The sequence below is a fragment of the Homo sapiens genome, chromosome 4 (assembly GCF_000001405.40).
Source record: "Homo sapiens chromosome 4, GRCh38.p14 Primary Assembly".
In the NCBI taxonomy this organism is placed as follows: Eukaryota; Metazoa; Chordata; class Mammalia; order Primates; family Hominidae; genus Homo; species Homo sapiens.
In genome coordinates this window covers 90,457,153-90,481,646 of record NC_000004.12, presented here as the reverse complement: position 1 = coordinate 90,481,646, position 24,494 = coordinate 90,457,153, and the positions used below count along the sequence as shown (strand labels likewise).

Here is a 24,494-nt window from a genome sequence, read left to right as displayed (position 1 = left end):
CAATGACAAAAACCACATGATTATCTCAATAGATGCAGAAAAGGCTTTTGACAAAATTCAACAACACTTCGTGCTAAAAACTCTCAATAAATTAAGTATTGATGGGACATATCTCAAAATAATAAGCGCTTTCTATGACAAACCCACAGCCATATCATACTGAATGGACAAAAACTGGAAGCATTCCCTTTGAAAACTGGCACAAGACAAGGATGCCCTCTCTTACCACTCCTATTCAGCATAGTGTTGGAAGTTCTGGCCAGGGCAATCAGGCAGGAGAAGGAAATAGAGGGTATTCAATTAGGAAAAGAGGAAGTCAAATTGTCCCTGTTTGCAGATGACATGATTGTATATCTAGAAAACCCCATTGTCTCAGCCCAAAATCTCCATAAGCTGATAAGAAACTTCAGCAAAGTCTCAGGATACAAAATCAATGTGCAAAAATCACAAGCATTCTTATGCACCAATAACAGAGAGCCAAATCATGAGTGAACTCCCATTCATAATTGCTTCAATGAGAATAAAATACCTAGGAATCCAACTTACAAGGGATGTGAAGGACCTCTTCAACGAGAACTTCAAACCACTGCTCAAGGAAATAAAAGAGGACACAAACAAATGGAAGAACATTCCATACTCATGGATAGGAAGAATCAATATCGTGAAAATGGCCATACTGCCCAAACTAATTTATAGATTCAATGCCATCCCCATCAAGCTACCACTGACTTTCTTCACAGAATTGGAAAAAACTACTTTAAAGTTCCTATGGAACCAAAAAAGAGCCCGCATTGCCACGTCAATCCTAAGCCAAAAGAACAAAGCTGGAGGCATCATGCTACCTGACTTCAAACTATACTACAAGGCTACAGTAACCAAAACAGCATGGTACTGGTACCAAAACAGAGATATAGACCAATAGAACAGAACAGAGCCCTCAGAAATAATCCCACACATATGCAACCATCTGATCTTTGACAAACCTGACAAAAACAAGCAATGGGGAAAGGATTCCCTATTCAATAAATGGTGCTGGGAAAACTGCCTCGCCACATGGAGAAAGTTGAAAGTGGATGCCTTCCTTACACCTTATACAAAAATTAATTCAAGATGGATGAAAGACTTAAATGTTAGACCTAAAACCATAAAAACCCTAGAAGAAAACCTAGGCAATACCATTCAGGATGTAGGCATGGGCAAGGACTTCATGTCTAAAACACCAAAAGCAATGGAAACAAAAGCCAAAAGTGACAAATGGGATCTAATTAAGCTAAAGAGTTTCTGCACAGCAAAAGAAACCACCGTCAGAATGAACAGGCAACCTACAGAATGGGAGAAAATTTTTGCAACCTATTTATGTGACAAAGGGCTAATATCCAGAATCTACAATAAACTCAAACAAATTTACAAGAAAAAAACAAACAACCCCATCAAAAAGTGGTCGAAGGATATGAACAGACAATTCTTAAAAGAAGACATTTATGCAGCCAAAAAACACATGAAAAAATGCTCATCATCACTGGCCATCAGAGAAATGTCAATCAAAACCACAATGAGATACCATCTCACACCAGTTAGAATGGCAATCATTAAAAAGTCAGGAAACAACAGGTGCTGGAGAGGATGTGGAGAAATAGGAACACTTTGACACTGTTGGTGGGACTGTAAACTAGTTCAACAATTGTGGAAATTGGTGTGGCGATTCTTCAGGGATCTGGAACTAGAAATACCATTTGACCCAGCCATCCCATTACTGGGTATATATCCAAAGGATTATAAATCATGCTGCTATAAAGACACATGCACACGTATGTTTATTGCGGCACTATTCACAATAGCAAAGACTTGGACCCAACCCAAATGTCCAACAATGATAGACTGGATTAAGTAAATGTGGCACATATACACCGTAGAATACTATACAGCCATAAAAAAGGATGAGTTCATGTCCTTTGTAGGGACATGGATGAAGCTGGCAGCCATCATTCTCAGCAAACTATCGCAAGGACAAAAAACCAAACACCGCATATTCTCACTTATAGGTGGGAATTGATCAATGAGTACACATGGACAGAGGAAGGGGAACATTACTCACCAGGGCCTGTTGTGGGGTGGGGGGAGCGGGGAGGGATAGCATTAGGAGATATACCTAATGTAAATGATGAGTTAATGGGTGCAGCACACCAACATGGCACATGTATATATGTAACAAACCTGCACATTGTGCACATGTACCCTAAAACTTAAAGTATAAAAAGACGAAAAAGAAATAGCTAGTAAAATGAATAATGACACTAATGACACTAAGTAGAACAGAAGCATGAAAAAAAGTTTTCCTCCTGGCTCATTTGAGAGAAAAACATACACATAAATGAAGAGGTACTGATTGTGATAATCATCAGTGAAGAATTTTGTTACTTATATTCTTCCTTTATATTATGTTGATTTATAAATGCTAATCATCTTAAGCATTATTTGCTTATAATGACATTCATATTTTTTAGATTACAAAAGACTACAAAAAGAACTGCATTTGAAAAAAAAAAGAATGATTTCACAGTGTGTCAGATTCTAAATTTAGTAATTAAAGTAATTTAAAAGAAAGTACAGGCCCGCGTGGGGGCTCACACCTGTAATCCTAGCACTTTGGGAGGCTGAGGCAGGCAGATCACGAGGTCAGGAGTTCAAGACCAGCCTGACTAACATGGTGAAACCTCGTCTATACTAAAAATACAAAAATTAGCCGAGTGTGGTGGCACGTGCCTATAATCCCAGCTACTCAGTAGGCTGAGGCAGGAGAATTGCTTGAACCTGGGAGGTGGAGGTTGCAGTGAGCCGAGATTGCGCCACTGAACTCCAGCCTGGGCAACACAGCAAGACTCCATCTCCAAAAAAATAAAAAAAAAAAAAAAAAAGAAAGAAAGAAAGTACAATTTATTCTTTTTTTAAATTGTCATCCTGGACAAGTTACTTAATCTCCATGTGCCTTTGTTGTCTGACCTGTAGCTTGCAGATAATAACAACATATAATCTTGTTGGGAAGATTAAATGGATACGTGTTTGCAAAGCTTAGATTACAGTATGGTGCCTAATATTAAATACATTTAAGTGTTACTGAATAAACCAATTTATTATTTTAAAGACTAGATTTAAACAATAGTTTACAACCCTAATTTATATATTCAACACGTAATTATGCTTACAATGTAAAATTTCATCCTACACACACAATATTTCAAAAAGAAAATGATAGAAACATCTGTCCTTCAAAAAATACCTGTCTTTAATATCTAGTGAGAGAGAATGAAGAATATAGGCAATTGTAATTCTGTCTAATGAGTACTATAATAGAGGTGTTCAAATATTATAGAAACAGACAGGAATCAATCTGTCTACAAGTACTTTGATTTTTCCATCAATCAGGGGAACCCTTTAACTCAAAGAATTAAAAATATTAATGAATGTTTATTTTAGATACCCCTATAAAACAAAGAAGTAAGGTATGCTACTTCACATTTTACAACAGGCATTCCCAGACTTTTGCTCATTAGAATTTCACTGTGTTGCTAATGTTTGTTTCACAGTTAAGAGAATTAGCATGCAGCAAAACATAGCACTTTTCCAGGGCTGGCAATCAGGTTTCTAGACTTCAAGTTTTCAGATCTTTCTTTTCAATACTGATGACAAAATTGCTGTTTTAATTCCCTGTGATATTTTCAATATTAATTATTCAAATGTTAAATATGTTAATATTAAAATATTAACAGTAAATATGCTCTATTCATATCTAATTTTTAAAAATTTGATAATGTTGGACAACTATCATGGTTGGTTCTACCTTCGAAATAAAAGAAAATGTGTTTTACCTCAAAAGTAAATAAAAATTAACCAATTCTCAGGTATTTTTTGAGTACCTACTAGTTATTGCTATTCTAAGTAAAATAGAAGATAAAAAAAAAACCAGGAAACATTTGTTGTAAAAGGGCTTAATATACCAGAGGAAAAAAAAGATAATACTTTCTTTTAAAAATGGGCAAATAATCACATATTGTGAATAGGCAAATTTGAGGAAATATCTAAAAGCATAAATGCCACAGAACATTATGTATTCTTAGAGATCCAATCCCTTATTCTTATGCCCAACTTCCTCATTCAAGAGATATTAAATCTGGTAATTTTTATTGTGCTTCCTCTTGGTGCCCAGCATGATTCTACCTGCTTTACTTTGAAAATTGAATACTTTCACAATGACCTTACAAAGCAGGTGCTATTGTCTTTATTATATATATAAGAATACTTGACTTCAATAACAGTAGTACCCGCTCCTTGCTCCATGTCATCTAACTGCCAAATAGAGATGAGATGTTTCAGATTTCAAAGTTTCTGCTTTTTCTGCTAGTCAGTCTCCCCTGGAAGGGGAAAAGTAGAAAATCAATATTGGATTATATAGCATTTATTTATAGTATTACTAGAAGACTTATACTAAAACCTAAATTATAGAACACATTCAAATAAAATATCTTATATATTTGCAAATCGATTTTTTTCATGGGATGAGGTTAGCACGGGGAATTGAAAGTTGGCACCATGCTTTTTCTGCACACATAAGAGCTACTTTCAAAACAATGGTGATGCACCTGCAATCTTTTTCAGTGATCTGACAAATCTGTATTTATAGTACTCTATAAAGAGTACAGTGATAACTGTACTGCACTGGTGAGCTAAAACACTTCAGTCATATTATCGGGTTGTCCCAACTTATCTGAAAAATAGCATTTGTGTGCTCAATGTACAAAGAAGGGTTGTCAAACTAGATGCAAACGTTACAATAGGATTTCTTGCCTTGACAGGGTAACTGCACAAGGGACCAAATATTATGACTCACTAAGGAGCAATAAACAGCAGAGAGATAAAATAACAACACTGTCAATCAAGGGCAGCAGTTTCTCTGGGAATTTTTAAACATTCTTATTTTTCATATTAAAATCTATTGGTTCTTGACGTTTGAAAACCTTCTTTAGTTTTTTTCAATATATATAAACCAGCGAATAATGAGCTCATATCTTTCCAAAAGGTTGAATAGAGATGATAAAAAAAAATACAGAAGATTGATGGCAATCAGTCCTTTCACAAGGTACCAGTAATACAGCATAGTTGACAAAACATCTAGCCGGCTGCCTTTCCACCAAGGCCTGGCAGTCAGAAAGGTGAATGCCCCCACCGACCCTCTAAGCTCTGTCCACCACTACCAGTGATTGACTGTTCCTCCGCAGCCCATGGGTTGTGCGTTATGTGGTCCTCCAGAGGGTAGGACCTAGGGCCATTTGAGCAGCGATTTCTGGACAGAGTGAGTGGTGAAGGCATAGTCTCCTAGTGGTGGGAGCTGTTGGCTTTCAGGAAATGCATCTTATGTAAGGCGGAGCAGCTGGAGAAGGGATGTGACACAGTTCTCTCACATGCAGGGCCTAAGGCAAGAATCCTGAGTGCCCAGATCTAAAGGCGATGGTACAAAGGGATAAATCCAGGTTATGTGAGCCCTGAAGTTTATGAAATCTGGAGGGATCTCAAAACACATACACACACACCCACACACACACACATACACACACACACACACACACACACGAGAAAAGAAGGAAAAATTTCCAGGATTGCTTCTAGGGCTTTATGTGGGGCCCATTGTAAAGCTGACCCCTGAAGATTAAACTTCCTCAGTGGTACAGCTAATGCATTCCTGCTACCAGGGTGAAAGGTAGCGGGTAGTGGTACTCGGTCAGAGGAGCTTTAAGGAGATTTAATTGGCTTTAGAGACTAGCAAATTGGCCCACAAGTGATCTTTTCAAAGGTCTCCTTCTGGGCCAGTATTCTGTAGTTCCCTAGTCATGGGTGCATGAGAGTCCTTTGCCCCTCTTTATGGGGGTATCCTCATCCTCCAGATAATTCACAAAAACACTACAGCCTCCCTGACTAACTCTAGAGTCCTAGATGGTGCTGCTTTCACAGCTGGCCAGCGATTTTTCACCCTCGAGGTTTTCTGGGCAGTCTGCTTAAGTTTCTCAGGCATGAATCCACATCTGTCCCTTGTGCTTCCAACTGCAGAGAACACATTTGAAGCACTGAATGATTCTTCTGAAAATCCACTATAGACTTGAGGTTAGAAAGTTTCTCCTCCCATCCCTAACTTCCTCCAAAAGCTGTGGAAGAGACCTATATTTAGGCAACAGCTTTCACCATGGAAATCTTATCTCCTCACTGATCTCCTCAGATGCTGCTTCCACCCTTGAATTGACCAAAATCATGAAACACTAGCCGTTTCTTTTGAATGCCTGCATGAGGAAGAAGGCTGTTTCCTAATCATAGTATTATCCTGATATTTATCCTAGCCATGCCTCAGTATTGAATTTTTTAAATGGAAGAATTTGAAGGCACGAAGTGATGGAGGGTAAATGAAGGAAAATTGTTAGTAAAGAATCATAAGAATTTACATAAGAACCTAAGTGGAATTTACTTATATTGTGGACATTTTCAGTGAAAATCAATGACAATGATTCAGACAGGAATTTTATGCAAAGTGCATTTATGTGTGTGTGTGTGTGCATGTTACACTTATAGTTCAACTGATATAATACTCAACATAAATTAAAAGAATATCATGACTCTCCATTCATTAAACTATTACTAATTCAAGATAACATGTTAGGATTTCCACAATATTATATATTTAACATAATTACAATTAGTAATAAAGATAATTTCTCATTTTCATCCTTATTGCAAATACTTAGTAATGTATTATAAGTTATTAGTTTAATAACTATATTTAACTTGCCAAGGTTCATAAATACATATTGACACAGTTCTCTTTTCACATTTCTCCACTCCCAATGCCAGCAACCTAGTGCAAGCTACTATCAGCAATCACCTAAATGTTCTCACTGTAGCCACTCAGTCTATCCTCCATTTACTAATGTGCTGATAAATATTTAACTAGCTCTCCAGGGGAGGAGGAAAGTCCTCATTTATAGAATTTCCCAATGCTATGATGTAAATACACCCACCATGGCTGATTTCAAACTTTCACTGTGAAATCACTGAATCTAGAGCTGGGGAGAACTGCTATCAAATTGGCTCTCCCAAGTCGGCTCCATTTCACCATTACCCCAACCACATCTAATTCGTTCTCTATAACAAACAAAGAGAAAGTTTTCAAAAGGCAAATCTAACCATGTCACTTGGCCCTGCTAACATGATTTGGCTTCCTTTTCCTCCCACGAGCCTTCCTTCAATTTCTCCACACTCCCATCCATCACAGAACACTTTAAGAAGCTATTTTGTTTTTTCAGTTAGTTAACTAATAGCCTGTGGATGTTAGCTCGAGAGTCACCTCCTCAGGGACGTTTTACCTGACCTCCTTGGCTATGTTACAACTTCTTACTACAGCCCTTATAATGAGATACACATCTACATTATAGCCACAGCTACACTTTTGCATTTTTTTTTTTTTTTTGAGAGGGAATCTTGCTCTGTCACCAGGCTGGAGTGCAGTGGCGCAATCTCGGCTCACTGCAACCTCCACCTCCCAGGTTCAAGTGATTCTCCTGCCTCAGCCTCTCAAGTAGCTGGAACTATAGGCGTGCGCCACCACGCCCAGCTAATTTTTGTATTTTTAGTACAGAAGGGATTTCACCTGCTTTTCAACACAAAACCCCTAGCACTATGCAGAGTGCCAAAAACAAAGCAGACACTGAAGAATTACCTATTTTTGATAAATTAACAAATAAATATCTGCCTAAAAGCATAAATAAATATGTTCTCCTGAAGATTGTTAAAGGAAAATTGGAGATCAGCTAGTAATATTATTCTTTGATATGTCTCCAATATAACCACAGAGTTTGTGTAACAACTTTAGAGAGTCTAAAGAGGTGACCTTAGAGAGAGTACTTAACTGTTCCAAATCTAACATATACTATTCATTCAGATAAATAAACAAACAGAGCTGACAAAACTTTAAGCCTGTGTGTTAAGTACCCTCTAAGAATAAAATAGGTTAGTGTTAGCAATTCTTTAAAAATGAGACGTTTGTACTAAATGATAATGTCTGTTACCTTTCAGAAGGAGCTTACAGAACCTACTTCATGACAAGAAACTGAAGCATTACAAAGAGGTATTGAAACTTGGAGAGAATGACAATATGTTTAAGTAATGCTTCATCTATGCAAGAGTAAACAATAAATCAAATCTATTCCTAAGGTTAGATTTATTTATATAAAATAATATAAAAATGTGGAAATGGACAAAGAAGTAATAGAATAATTTTTCTTTTACCTCTGCATTTCTAACTTTACAATGGTCACAAAAATCCCTTCATTCAGACATTGAGTTATGGTATGTACAGAATATTTGCATTTCAACAAGCACATTTCTAAAAAAGTATTAATACAAAATATAATCCAAAGCCAATCATGGTTATTCTTTCATTCTCTTCAGAGTTTGAGTTCTATGTACATTTCATGAAATGCTCATTTACATAGAACTGACTTGAGAAATGTAGAGTTTTGAGGAACATGCTGAGTGTAGCTGGATACTTGGTTATACTTTTAACAGTAGGATTTTTATAAATTTATAATTCCCCTCTGTATGTCCATGTGTGCCCATTATTTAGCTCCCAATTATTACGTATGGATATGTGGTATTTGATTTTCTGAGTTATTTCACTTAGGATAATGACCTCCAGCTCCATCCACGTTGCTGAAAAGACATGATTTCACTCTTTTTTATGGTGTATATATACCACATTTTCTTTATCCAACCATCTGTTGAGGGCACTTAGGTTGATTTCATGACTCTGCTATTGTGAACAGTCACTCTCAAAGCTTTGACCCCAGCATTCTATGCTTATGATTAAATATTTGAAAATTGTACACTCTTTTTGGATTACATAGATTATTCTATTTTTTAAAAAGTTTATCCTTTCTATGGTATTCTGAGTTACATACCAAACTAAACTCAGAAGTGAAGTAAAATCCCCACCTTTGTTTTCTGAATTAAGATGAATTTTAGATATTGCAGGAAGTGGAAAGCTCTGGTCCTCCGCCACTGTAATGAGCAATGTAGCTTTCCTTCTTAACGATTTAGTTAGTTTCTCCCTATCACCTGCTATGCTGAAAAATTTATACTTCATTCCTAGTAGGAGTTCCTAATTCTTGTTTCTCCTTATCAAATGTCTAAAAACTAATAAATACATGAGAATATTTAATAAAAAAAGTCAAAAGTAAAATATTTATCATCAGAATATAACTAAACATTGGTTAGATAATACAAATATCTCAGTCATAAAATGTTTCTTACCTTCTAAAGTGATGTAATTATATATTACATATTCTTTCTTATGTACAATCTTACATATTCTGAGATGACTATTTCAGTTATTCTTAGCAATGAATTTACTGGGTTCTGAATCAGATGACTCTATGAATCCTATATTTCAAAGACTCAATGATTTATGAATTTATATGTGAAGACTGTAAAATTCAAGGGGAAAATTTACTTAAAGAAGTAATTCCATCCAAAATTAAAAAGAAATATTTGTTATCCAAAGACAGTGTCTCAACTTTCAGCATTAGTATTATATTGGCGGGTGATTATTTTATGTCTACTATTTTTTTTTTTGAGATGGCGTTTTGCTCTTGTCACCCAGACTGGAGTGCAGTGACACAATCTTAGCTCACTGCAACCTCTGCCTCCCAGGTTCAAGTGGTTCTCCTGCCTCAGCCTTGCAAGTAGCTGGGATTACAGGTGACTGCCACCATGCCTGGCTAATTTTTTTGTATTTTTAGTAGAGACAGGGTTTCACCATGTTAGCCAGGCTGGTCTCAAACTCCTGACCTCAAGTGATCCGCCCGCCTCGGCCTCCCAAAGTGCGGGATTACAGGTGTGAGTCACCACGTCCAGCCCTATCTAGTATTTTTTTTTTCTTATGGGAAATCCAAAATACACAAAACTGATATCATAAGGGCATTAGTAACACCATTTATAAACAGTTGATGTGGCTATTTAACAAATATATTTGTTGCAAAAAAATTACAAAATTTATATGTTCTTGCATCTCTATTATGTTTTAGGCATTGCATTATGAGGTAAAGTATCTCCCATATTAAAAAGAAACAAATAAACTAAGGTTAAGAAGCTTTATTTATTTATTATTTCTTTTAGAGACAGTCTTGCTTTGTCACCCAAGCTGGAGTAAGGCAGTGGCATGGTCATAGCTCTCTGCAGCCTCAAAATCCTGGGTTCAAATGATCCTTTCCCCTCAGCCTTGTGAGTATCTGGGAGTATAGGTGCAAGCCACAGTGCCCAGGGGTTAAGAAAATTGGTGGGGGTTGGGGGGAAAGAATCTGCCCAATGCCTGGATTCCTAACCACTGTGTTATACTGCCTCTCAATAGCACACCCAGAACAAATAACATAAAATAAAATTAAGTAGGTAAAAAATCATTTAAAATAAGAAATAAAGATACATGCATTATATTTCAGTATATCAATGTTTATGATTTAAATATAATAAAGAATTCTGACTTTTAAAATTAATGGTGATAATAATATTATTACCTATATGGAACATTCATTATTTTGACACCTCATCTATCTCTGCCTTCTTTTATCAATATCACCAATATGTCAATTGTGGAATCACCTTTCCCCTCTAAATTTCATTCTGTGTTCCAGGGCTTGTCATGCAACATCAACAAATTATCTAGTCAATCGCCACCAAATACTTTTGGATATAGTGATTGTTTCAGAATTGCCATGTCAAACAAGGCAAGCTAGTCAAAGCCAATCCAATGACACTCAAATCTGGGTGTTTTGTTTTTTTTTTTTTTTTTTTGCTTTGATTAAAAGGAATGAGAAATTATCTCCTTCCACTGGATTTGTGGAGAAAATGAAAATCAATCCCAGTGGCTGCTGAAGGCAGTAATATCACCACTAGAGGAACCTCCCAGAAAATGAAAAGCCCAGACAGAAGAGTCAAGCAAAAAACATGTAGATAGAGAGAATGACCCTTGATGATATCATTTGAGAACCAAAACTGTACTTGAAGAAATTGCTACCTTTGTACTTTATAAATTACATGAGCCAATAACCACCAGCACTCTTGATTCTTTTTTTCTGAAACCAGTTAGCATTTGGCTTCTGTCACTGGCAAACAAGAGTTTTGAGTTAATCACTGTGCTTGCATTTATACTCTGTTCTTGCCATATGTTCACACCTATCTTTTAATTCTCAAAATAACAGTGTTGGGTATGTAGGACATAAACAATTTCCATTTGATAGATGGCATCATTAAGATTACAACTGAAGATATATTTTAGGAGATATTTAAAATATGGGATATATATACCTTCCAGGTCTGCTGAAATAAGAAAATATAATGGAGACATTAATCAAGTAATTGATAACTGATTGAATATGAGATGTGAGGAAGAAAACATACCAAGATTTTAAAAAAAGAAAAATGATGGTAGCTTTACTTAAATATGGAACAACTTGAGAATTTACGGAGTACTTAGAGGAGATTATTAATTTGTCTTCAGACATATTTACAACAGACTGAAGATCCCAAACCTGAAAATCCCAATGTTCTAAAATCTGAAACTTTTTGAGTGTTAACTTGACAATCAAAGAAAATGCTCATGTTCCATTTCAAATTTCATATTTTTGGATTTAGGATGCTCAACTAATATAATACAAATATTGCAAAATCTGAAAACATCTGAAATCTGAAACACTTCTGCTCCCAAGCATTTTGAATAAGGGACATTCAACCTGCATGACACTTCGGTAGGATGCCTAGTTAGACAAGTCTGATGAACAACTTTAAATATTACATTTGCATTCAGAAGAGCCTTCATGAAAAGAATATATAACCATAAGTCACCCATAATGTTGATAGCTGAAGCTATAGAATGGTCAACATAACTAGAACTTTATGGATTATTAGATTTCAGGTCCTTTCTCAATATCATTTCACATAATACTAACAAAGAGAGTGGTGATATCACCCTAAATAAAAGATAAGGAAATGTGTGTGTGTGTGTGTGTGTGTGTGTGTGTGTGTGTGTGTGTTTTGCAGGAAAACACATTTGAGCTTTCTAATATAATTCAATTGGCAAACATGATGCAATTATCTATTAGACAAAAATGGCTTTTGGAACTTAAAAATTAAGACTATATGAAGAGCAGTTAAATTAACTGACTTTTAGATTGTATTAAAACTGAATTAAAATCATTATTTTCTAAATTGGTCAGTGTTTCTTCCCTCTATAATAAGAATATTAATACTGAATATCTTCATGCAATCAAATATATACATTGCCCTATTCACAAACAGTATCAAGCACAATTATGCCTTAAGAGCTTATTATCTAGTAAAAAGACATACAAGAAGCAAATAACTATAACACAGTGTAATCCAATGGAGAAAAATGGTAGGTACATCAAGATATATCTTCCGCCTTACTCCTACGGTGGTCAGCCCAAAATCCTTGGCAGCCCCTTATATCACCTAATCACTAACCAGAAACCTTAAAGGAGGCATGATACTATTTCTCACTGAAAAATACTCAGCAGGTTTTTTCCTTTTCATGTATTTAATATATAAGCAGAAATAATCCCCATTTATTTAATATTTGACATCTACATAAGCTTACATTTATCATCATGAACTTAAGCCTCTTTAGTCATTATAAGAGTACAAGTTTATCATTTATATAATAGAAGATCAAATTTTAATTTAAATTAAAGCTTGAACTGTTTAAATGGAAAAAATATGAAAACACTAAAATAGTATAAAGTTCAAATTTGTTCTAATTTAGTAAAAATATTTTAAAATAATAACTTACATTCCTTATAAAAATGCAAACCAACTTTAAAAACTTTATATTAAAAACTGATTTCATTTTATATCATTAAAGCCTACAGCTTATATAGTAAGCAATCCAAGAACAGTGTACCCACAATCACAGAGTAGGGAAATAAAGTACATCAGCCTACTTGCCCATGTCCTTAAGATAAGGTAACAAAATGAAACTTGAATGACACATGGTTCAAAGACATGAAGTTAGGAGACACAGAAGTTAATTCATTAAGATAATATAGAATAGATGATTTTTTAACCCATAAAATTTATTTCTTCTTTCTTTATACTAATATTAACACATTTATTATAAATCACATTTTCTTATCAGTTATCTAATTGATTTTACAAGGCCTTGAAAAATTAAATGAACAACTCACTGTTTGGAAGGCTCAGGAAATTCTGGTTCTTCTCTTTTCTTCATTTCTATCATTGGTTCCATAGGAGTAAGAACTACTGCGGCACATGAGACGACAGAGTGATATGAGTCCTCCCGGCAAACTGTTCAAAAAAACCGAGGAATTGTAAATGTCAAAATTATTTATGAACTAGTCTCACATCTCCTTTTTCCCCTTTCTATATTTAGTCTAATAAAAGATCTAATTCTAATAAAACATTAATTATTAAATTATCCTTAAATATTTTCTGCTCTAAGTCTTTTCACTCACTAGCTATATGACCTTGGGCAATTTTTCTTTTTTAAATCCCAGGGTGGAAAAGGTATTGCCAACAGTTTATAGTCCTTCTCTAAAAAAGCTTTTCATCAAAGAATGAAAAGTGCTTAAGTTATACATAAACAGTTAAATGAATCTTTGCAACATGACCACACCTGCTAAGTCAGCATCAAGATCAATAAACAGTGCATCACCAGCACCCTAAATCCTCCTGTGGTACCCCTTCCCAAACACTACTGGAACCTCTGAACTTAACCATTATCATCATTTATAGAACCATAAATAAGTTTTGCCTATTTCTGACCTTTACACAAATGGGATCATATTCTTTTGTGAGCATATTCTTTTCTTTTTTTTTTTGGTTTTGTTTTGTTTTTTGAGACGGAGTCTCGCTCTGTCTCCCAGAGTGGAGTGCAGTGGCACGATCTTGGCTCACTGCAACCTCCGCCTCCCAAGTCCAAGGGATTCTCCTTCCTCAGCCTCCCGAGTAGCTAGGATTACAGGCGCCCGCCACCGTGTCAGCTAATTTTTGTATTTTTAGTAGAGATGGGATTTTGCCAGGTTGGCCAGGCTGGTCTTGAACTCCTGACCTCGAGATCGGCCCGCCTCAGCCTCCCAAAGTGCTGGGATTACAGGCATGAGCCACCAGCCAGGCCCTTTTTTATTTTTTATTTTTTTAGAAGGAGTCTCGCTCTGTCACCCAGGCTGGAGAGCAGTGGCATGATCTCAGCTCAACACAACCTCTGCCTCCTGGGTTCAAGTGATTCTCCTACCTCAGCCTCCCAAGTAGCTAGGACTACAGGCGCACTATCATGCCAAGCTAATTTTTGTATTTTTTAGTAGAGACGGGGTTTCACCATGTTGGCCAGGATGGTCTTGATCTCTTGACCTCATGATACGCCCACCTCCACCTCCAAAGTGCTGGGATTACAGACATGAGCCACTGCACCCGGCCCACGCATATTCTTTTATGTGTTTTTTATTTCATTCAATGTGTGATTATAAGATTCATCTATGTCTAGTAGTAGCTGGTTCATTCTCATAGCTGTGTGGCTTTCCACTGGTGAATATACCACGATTTATTTATACATTTCGTTAATAATGAACACAAGCTATTTTCAGTTTGGGGCTATTTCAATTGTCTATGAACATTCTTGTACTTTTTTAAACAGTGCACAAACTTATTTATATTGGAAAAATATCAATAAGCTGTAATCGTTTCTAGGATATAGTCATGTTTTATGTTCTGCTTTAGTAGTCACTGCCAAATACAACTCAGAACTGTCTGTACTAATTTGCATTACCAACAATAGAGAAAGAGTTTCAGTTGTTTCACATCCACACCAACACTTGGTTTTGTCACTTTTTTCTTATTAAAGTTTTAATATTATATTAATTTTCTATTGTAGCATAAAAAATTAACACAAACTTAGGAGCTTAAAACAATATCCATTAATCATTTCACAGTTCTAGAGATCAGAAGTCCAGATGGGCTCAACTGGGTTCCCTGATTAGGGTCTTACAAGGCCAAAATCAAGGTATCAATGAATCTGGGCTCTTATCTAATGTCTCTGTGTGAATAATCCACTTCCAGACTTACTCAGGTTCACAGAATTTACCTCCTTCCAGTAGCAGGATTCAAGGCTCCTTTTACCTTGCTAGCTGTTGTGACGAGGGACCACTCTGAGCTTCTAGGGCTACTCACAGGTTCATGGCCTATGGCCCATCCATCTCAGCAGTGGGGAACATCCTTCACATTGAAGCCCTCTCATGCTTTAAATATCTCTGATTTCTTCTTTTGCTACCAACTAGGGAAAAAACATTCTTTCTGCTTTTAAAGGGCTCATGTGAGGCCTACCCACATTATTTCCTTTTTGATTAACTGAAAGTCAACTTATTAGTAGCCTTAATTACATCTGCAAAATCCTTTTTGCCAACTGATAATCACAGCAGTGATGCCCTATCATCTTCCCAGTAAATAAAAATTAAGGGCTGGAGTCACGTGTCATCTTAGAATTCTGCCTACCAAAGCCATTCTTTTAAGTGTGTAGTGCAGTATGGCATTGTTACTTCAATTTATATATTCCTGATAATGAATGAAATTGAATATATATACTGTATATTCAGTCCTCTTTTTACATGGTTCTAATATGCAAAAACTTCACTTACATGGTTTAGTTAAATAACATCAGTCACTCCCCAAAAACAGGGTTCAAACTGAAGTTCACATGGTATATCAACTGTGAGTAATTGTATAAAGTACAAACTTCTTTACTAGCACTTCAGTACACAAACCACTATGTAAACAAAAGAGGTACATCATGATCAGTGACACACACACATCACTTCTTTCAAATTCTGTCAATTATTGATAACTAGGCATTACTTATTCAGTTCAAGCACATAAATAATAATGTGTACTTGCATTGCTTCCTTGTCTCCCCGTGATTAATTTATGTGACATTTTATAAAAAATAGACCAGGTAAGGAAAAAATTTGCCAATGAAAATGAAAGTAGAGAAAAGAAATAAAAACTGATAGTGAAACCCTGTCTCTACTAAAAATACAAAAAATTAGCCAGGCATGGTGGCACACGTCTGTAGTCCCAGCTACTCAGGAGGCTGAGGCAGGAGAATTGCTTGAACCGGGGAGGCTGAGGTTGCAGTGAGCCGAGATCAGGCCACTGCACTGCAGTATGGGTGACAGAGCAAGACTGCACCTCAAAAAAAAAAAAAAAAAAGAACACGGAAAGTGCTGCCTGGGCGCGGTGGTTCACACCTGTAATCCCAGCACTTTGGGAGGCAGAGGCGGTGGTTCACACTTGTAATCCCAGCACTTTGGGAGGCAGAGGTGGGCAGATCACAAGGTCAAGAGATTGAGACCATTCTGGTCAACATGGTGAAAGCCTGTCTCTAATAAAAATACAAAAATTAGCTGGATGTGGTGGCACGTGCCTGTAATCCCGGCTACTTGGGAGGCTGAGGCAGGAGAATCACTTGATCCAGGGAGTTGGAGGTTGCAGTGAGCCGAGATCACACCACTGCACTCTAGCCTGGCCACAGGGCGAGACCCCGTCTCGAAAACAAAATGGATACTGCTGATGTGACATTTGAATCAAATATAAAAACTGAGTACAACAAACAGAAACACTCAAATTTTAATTACTCCATTATTTAATTGCACTTAAAAAGTTAATAATGCATAAAAAATTTTATTCACATATTAATTTTATAAAGGTTAATTATGGAACAGCAGACAATTATAATGTAATATAAAAAACATGAGACAGTGTCAAGCCATTCCATATTCAAATAGATTTGCAGCATCCATGGGTTGAAAAATCAATAATACATTTTTCCCGATTATTTCCAACCATAGATATAAATAACAGTTTGAGGCAACAACATAAAAACCTATATGCTAAATTTGCTCTTCTGTGAAAAGAATTTTTGTTGTTAATGTATTGCATGAAGTGCAGAATATTCCGTCTTAGGCTTCTGTCACTAGAGAGTGTCAGAGCAAGGATACCTGGAAAATAAAAGTCCCCATGTGTTTCTAGACAGATGAGGCCTTTTGGCCAAGATCAGGGTCACTAAACAACTACTGGAACTGTACCTAGTAGAAGTCATTTATCAGCAACCATCAGTTGATAAGAAAAGGATGATTCAGGCCTGAGAAACCGATGTTTAATTATACAAATAGGGACTTTAAAATAAGAAAAAATACTTGATAGTCACAAAAATTGCTTATCCTAAAACTTGGTTCTAAGCACTAGTCTTATTTATTTCTAGATAGTTATTAAATATATAAACAACAAAATGAACAAGCCTTCCAGGGACCACTCAGTCAGAAATCTGCAAACCTCAGGGCAGAGTAGAAATCATTTTTAGCTTTGAAATGAAGTAGTCTGACCTTGTCATGTAACCTTTTATTACACCACAAAAACTATGCTATTACAGGAAATGACTTTCTATTATTGCTGTATTCCCTAAAATGTTTCTTCCAGATTCATATTAAACTGAGATGCCAAATTTAAACACTAAAATTTTAAATTACTCCTTTTCTCCAGTTTGACTACATCAAAATAATTTTATTTAATAACTGAATTTCTATCGTTTTTTTAATTTATAAAATCATTGTTAAAGCATAAAAAAGCAGTATATTTTATATTTTAATAAATTTCGCAAAACTACTAAGGATTCATCAGAGAGGCATTTTTGTCTTTCATGCAAAATTAAAACATTTAAGTGACTGAAGGTGCCTAGAGTAGTTATAAGTAATGTGTTTTTGATATTCTTGTATTATATTTTATTTATACATATTTATTACATTTGAGATCACCACTCCAATTCACCAAAATAGTTTACTATTAATTGGCAAATTGCAGCCTTAAAAAAAAAGAATTTGCTTTTGACTTGGTAGAGTGTTCACTTTTCCATTTTCTGTTCCAAATATCCAGGATCCATGTATCTACCACATAACAACCCGCTGATAAAGCTTAACCTAGCAAAAGAATACATTATTTAACAAACATTTAAATGACAAGATAGACACAATTCTGCACTAACTGTGCATTTACTCTTACTGTATTGTTTTTACCCTTCAGAAAAGTTCTATGGCATATTGTTATTACTGTCATTGCACTTTTCAAGGTCACACAGCTTGAGTATAGAAAAACCCAAATTTGATCTATTTCTCGCTAGTCCTCATGCTATTGAACATACTTCATGCTGATTCTCATTTAAATATATCAACTGCTCTGAAGTAATAGTGTAAATGTAATAGTTTATCTTTTTCAATTGTTTATACTCAATAATATCCCTACATCTGGATTCTTTATTCTAAGAAAAACTGTGAAAACGTCAAGCAGCCTGGTTTTACAACCACATTATTTAAGACTGTATTTTGTACAACTTTATGATTTAAAGCTAATATCATCTTGAGATTTTTTTAAGATGTGAAAGAATTGCATCAAAATTATCAATATCCTAAAGTAAAAACTTCTTAAAAAATAATCCATATCAGAACATATCACAACTTTGACTCACCATACAAATACTTTGGGTTCTAAGCTCTGTCCTTCAAAATGACTTATAACAATGGTTATAAGTCTATTGACTTATTGTTCTATTGTTCCACTGGAGAATGAGTGTTTTGCATTTGTTTTCCCATTAGTAAACTATGAATAATAATCTTGCACTTGGGTTGTGGTGATGATTAAATGAATTAATGCATGTAAAGTGCTTAGTATAATATCAGGAAAATGATATTCTTTTAAAATGTTAGCAAATATTATTTATAACTGTTTTACTTTATGAGATGGTGTTTTATTATTCGCCCAAGCTGGAGTCTGGTGGCTATTCACAGGTGCAATCATGATGCACTACCCCTCAAAGTCCTGGGCTCAAGCGATCCGCCTGCCTCAGCCTCCTGAGTAGCTGGGACTACAGGTATACACCACCATACCTGGCTGATTTGTTTGTTTGTTTGTTTTATATGTCAACTTGGCTAGGCTACAAGCCCCAATTATTCAAATACTAACCCAAGTGTTGCTGTGAAAATATCTTCTCTACATGTAAAGTCCATAGTCTGTTAGCTTTAAGTGATATTATCCTAGGTAACCTGGATGGGTCTGAGTCAATCAGTTAAAAAAGGCTTAAAGCAGAGTTGAGGCTTCCTGAAGATAGAAATCCCATCCTTGTCAAAAGTTCCCTCCTGCTCTGCCTGATAGTCAGCTCTACATATTTTGGACTTACCTAACCGGTCTCCAAAATCACATACGTTGATTACTTGTTACAAAAACAAATACACAAAAGAAACTTCTTTATATCTTTTACTGGTCTGTTTTCCTGGTTGATAAATACATAAGTAACAATGACATTTTGGTATTGTAAATACCAAAATGAACCAGTAAATATTTACTGAACCAGTAAATATTTCTTTTTAGTGCCTATACAAAGTTTTTTGATGAAATTATATTAATCCAGAATTGAAAGAAGAAATGAAAAAAAAGAAGCAGATAAGATACAAGCCATTGCATCATGACTGTAAATAGCACACATTGAGCAAAAGCAGGCATATATATTCATTCCTTAGTAGCATTAATTGAACTATTCCATATCCAGACACTGTAGTAGGTGCTGAACTTGTGAAGATAAAACATAAAACATTTGCCTTGCAGTAACTTAAAGTGTAGTAGGAGATTGTACCATTTAGGAAGTGTAATCATAGAAGCCAGCCAAGTAAAGTAACTGGCAGGATCAAAACAGTAGGACTGTTGCAGTCTTGTTCACTCCTGTTACTTAGTAGAGTGCCAGGCACAAAAGAGGCACTCAATAATCTTTGGTAAATGAATGAGAGACTGAAGAAAAGTGAAGTGAGGCATGGGGGAAAAGAAAAGATGCTAGCCAAGCACAGGAAAGAGTGTGCTAAAAGGCATTGAGATATGAGAAAATGTTATATATATATTGAGAAATGGAAATAATTCAATGTGATTGGGGCCTAGACAAGACACAAGACACAAGAAGTTAAGGAAGACTGAGCTGGAGGCATAGGTCATCGGCAATACCTTAAACACCTTCTAAACTTAAAAACTTAAAAACATTAGTATTTGATCCTAAAGTTAATGGGAATTGATACCGATCATTAAACAAAGAGCAACATGATCAGCTTTATATATTTTTAAAAATAGCCGGGCCGGGCGCGGTGGCTCACGCCTGTAATCCCAGCACTTTGGGAGGCCGAGGCGGGCGGATCACGAGGTCAGGAGATCGAGACCATCCCGGCTAAAAAACGGTGAAACCCCGTCTCTACTAAAAATACAAAAAATTAGCCGGGCGTAGTGGCGGGCGCCTGTAGTCCCAGCTACTTGGGAGGCTGAGGCAGGAGAATGGCGTGAACCCGGGAGGCGGAGCTTGCAGTGAGCCGAGATCCCGCCACTGCACTCCAGCCTGGGCGACAGAGCGAGACTCCGTCTCAAAAAAAAAAAAAAAAAAAAAAAAAAAAAATAGCCTGGGCAACACCTAAGTACAGGAACAAGACTGAGTGAAACCACTGACAGCACTATTGAAATAAACAAAGTGAGAAATGGTGAGGGCTTCTTATTATTTGAAGTAGCAGTGTAGTGGACTAGAGGGGAAAAAGTCGAGTGCAGAGTATTCAGAAATGTTAACACTTCATTTCAAATATATAGTCACAGTCTATATCTACTTATTTTCTTTATTAAGATGAAATACAATTCTCAGCACATTACAAAATCAGAAAATACAGCCACAGTACAGATGGGTGTGAGAGAAGAGCCATCAAAAGAAGAAAGCAAAGACCTTCAAATTATTAGGAGACAATTTAGTTTACAATTTAAATTTAAAAGTATTCTATACAACCATATTATTTAAGGCTAATATCATCTTGAGATATTTGTTAAGATGTGAAGGAATTGCGTAAAACTGTCAATATCCTGAAGTAAAAACTTCTTAAAATATGAAAAACAGATGAAAATAACTATACCCTGGAAACTCAGACAAAACTATAAAGTGAAAATGAAAATATTAAATTTGGTCAGGCTTACCTCATATCACCCAAATTCTGGTAACTTTGTCGCTGTGTGCCAATAGTAACCTTTCATTTTATGACAGATGGTTGGAATATATCAGGTCTATTATAATTGAAATTGCATATTTTTGACCCATTTAATCTCAGTTTTTTTCTTGCCTTAGTTTTTTTTTTTTTTTTTTTTTGAGACGGAGTTTCGCTCTGTCGCCCAGGCTGGAGTGCAGTGGCGCGATCTCGACTCACTGCAAGCTCCGCCTCCCGGGTTCACGCCATTCTCCTGCCTCAGCCTCCTGTGTAGCTGGGACTACAGGCACGCGCCACCATGCCCGGCTAATTTTTGTATTTTTAGTAGAGACGGGGTTTCACCGTGTTAGCCAGGATGGTCTCGATCTCCTGACCTCGTGATCCGCCCGTCTTGGCCTCCCAAAGTGCTGGGATTACAGGCGTGAGCCACCGCGCCCGGCCGCCTTAGTTTTTGAATAGTTCTTTTCACAAATATTTCGTTGTGAAATTTTTTTCTACAATAAAATTGAAAGCTCACAAGTGATAGAGAAAAATAGCAAAAGTTATGAACTCCATTTGTAAGCTTACCTATCTTATTATTAAAACTCAAAACACTTTAGTATGTTTGGGGCTGGCAAAAAAGTGTCCTTCACTTCAAATATAAGCTGATATAGCCAATGGTGTTCTTGAATGTCAAACATGAAATAAGCATTTATAAAGTCCCTACTAATTGTAAAGTAAAACAAATTATGAATAAAGTGTCATTTATTTTAATAAATAGAAAATTAAGTTAAAATATTGTCATTATGGTGGGCGCTAATCCAGTACGACTGGTGCCCTTTTAAGAAGAAGAGATTACAACACAGGCAGACATAGTGGAAAAAACATCGAAGACACAGAAAGAAGCCATCTAGAAACCATCAGGAGAAGATGTCTAGAGACACAGAAAGAAGCCATCAGGAGAAATCAACTCTACGGACACACTGAATTTGAACTTCTAGCCTCCAGAACTGTGAGATAATAAATGTTTGTTGTTTAAGCCACCAAGACAATAATACCTTTTGTTATGCCAGCCCTAGCAAACTAATTTAAAGAGCATTTTAGGGGGACAGAATTACTTTTACTAATATTAATAATTAAATAAAAAGATCTCAGAGTTCTACTCCAAACTCCCACCTAATGGCTGAATCTACATTGCTACTACTCCTATCCTCTCCCATTCCAAATATCTCTGACAGATGTCCAGTTCATACTTCAATAATTCTAATGCTGGAAAATACGTTACCTTGTCATTATGGTTCCCTCCTTCCCAATGTGACATAAGCTTTTAGTGTATTTAAAACTAGATCGTGTATAGTTGTAAGAATTTGCCTGTGTTTATATCTGTATCTATATATACGTACACACATACACTATCTATATATGTAGATACACATACATACACATGTATGCATATATAACATATATAATATATACTATAAACACATACATATGCATACAATAGATAGCATTAGAAAGAACAGAGTCACAAACAATTATTATTGCTGATAAATTAGCTATTAAAAACTTTATCGGCATTTTCTCCATTGCACAGCCACCAGTTAGAGCAGAAGATGCTACCTAGGTTAAGTGGTTTTCAAGCTTCCATCAAAAGCGATGTGTAAGAACTTTAGCACCACTGGAGGTCTGTGAAGTCCTTCATCACTGACAAAAATTCCACACATAATATTAGAATGGCATCATCATCTGTAGTCTGCTCCTTCTAAGTAGTTCACATAGAAGGTTTATGACTTGTTGTTCATTAAAGATTTCATTTTAATATTGGCAGGACCATTAAAACTTATTGTGGCAAGGCCAGGCATGGTGGCTCACGCCTTTAATCCCAGCAATATGGGGAGCTGAGGTGGGTGGATCACCTGAGGTCAGGAGTTCGAGACCAGCCTGGCCAAAAGGGTGAAACCCTGTCTCTACTCAAAATAAAAAAAAATTAGCCAGGCATGGTGGCACATGTCTGTAGTCCCAATTGCTCAGGAACTGAGGCAGGAGAATTGCTTCAATGCAGGAAGTGGAGGTTGCAGTGAGCCAAGATGGTGCCACTGTACCCCAGCCTGGGCAACAGAGCAAGATTCCATCTCAAAAAAAAAAAACTTATTGTGGCAGACTCTATTTTCTAAAGATGGCAGCAGTGGTCCATGTGGAGTGGTGGCTGTGAAGATGCTGGTTGCAGTGTGGGAGGTGTAGCTGGGGCGGTGCACTCCATGGAGCAGGTGGAAGGAGGAACAGGTGGAGGCCCTGCCCCCTTACAAGTTGGAGGGGCTCTCCTAAGAGCCGCAGCAAACCAGCTGCGGCTATGGACTCAGGAATTCCTGAGCTCTTGAGGGCCCAGGAATTCCCCTGATCTCAGCAGGCTCCTGCTGCCTGAAATTTCCCTGATTCTGGTGCCCTCTCCAATTTTGGAGCACAGTTGTGACAAAGCCTGGGCACGGCCATGACCCTGCTGGGTATGCACATGCTCAGGGTGGCACCGACACACCAGAACCCTGCTGTCTCGAGCCCCTCTGGACATTGGGTGCTGATAAGCATGGGAGGGACGGCAAAGAGAAGGTTGGCATGGGTCTGCAGGCTGTGGATGGCAGGTTGATGATGGCAGAAAGCAGATAGGCTCCTGGGTGGAAAGAGGTGGGTCCCTGGTGAAGACTCACCTTTATGCTAGGGATGGCCTGAAGCCTGGGTGCCAGGCTGCCAGTTGCTTGGAGCAGAGTGAAAATTATGGTGCCTTTTCCGGGCCCAGCCATGGCCGCCCATGGAACAATCAGCACACACTTCCTCCTCTTTGAAGCCCATAAAAGCCTGGACTCAGCCAGATTTGTAGAGACATTAGGACAACCTGCCTGTGGGGAGGAGCTACCCACTGTGGGTCTTCTCTCAGCTGAGAGCTGAACAGACATCTGGATGATCTGCCTGTTGAAAGAAGCTACCCACTTCAGGTCTCTGGAGAGCTGTACTGTAGCTCAATAAAACACCTCTTTGCCTTGCTCACCTTGCAGTTGCCCACGCACCTCATTCTTCCTGGAAACAAGACAAGTACTTGGGACCTGCTGAATGGCACAAACAGGGCTGAAACATGCCCCCCTAGTCAGCATGTTGTGAGCACGAGAAGAGGAGAAGAAAAAAGAGAGAAAAGAGGAGAGAAAAGTTGAGGCTCTTTGGGGAGTTCAGCTCTAAGAGTTCCCTGAGCCAGGGCTCTTACACGCTATTTGGCGTTCTGCAGTTCCTGGGATCTCCAAGCTGCTGGGTGACAAAGTGTTCCCTGGTGCCTGCAGTGGAAGCCACTTGCGGTACACCTGGTCCAGC

General features: G+C 37.0%; 1 protein-coding gene across 35 annotated transcripts in view; it reads right to left on the bottom strand.

The window, feature by feature from the left end:
* CCSER1 (coiled-coil serine rich protein 1) overlaps nt 1-24,494 on the bottom strand; it is a 1,477,902-nt gene that overhangs the window by 1,123,649 nt on the left and 329,759 nt on the right. For all 35 annotated transcript variants that reach the window (XR_001741218.2, XR_938733.3, XR_938734.3 and 32 more), the window contains one exon: nt 13,293-13,413. Coding sequence is in view for 30 of the 35 variants with exons in the window: in XM_011531936.2 (XP_011530238.1) it covers nt 13,293-13,413 (121 nt within the window). In the remaining 5 variants the exon portion in view is untranslated. The remainder of the gene's footprint in view (nt 1-13,292; nt 13,414-24,494) is intronic.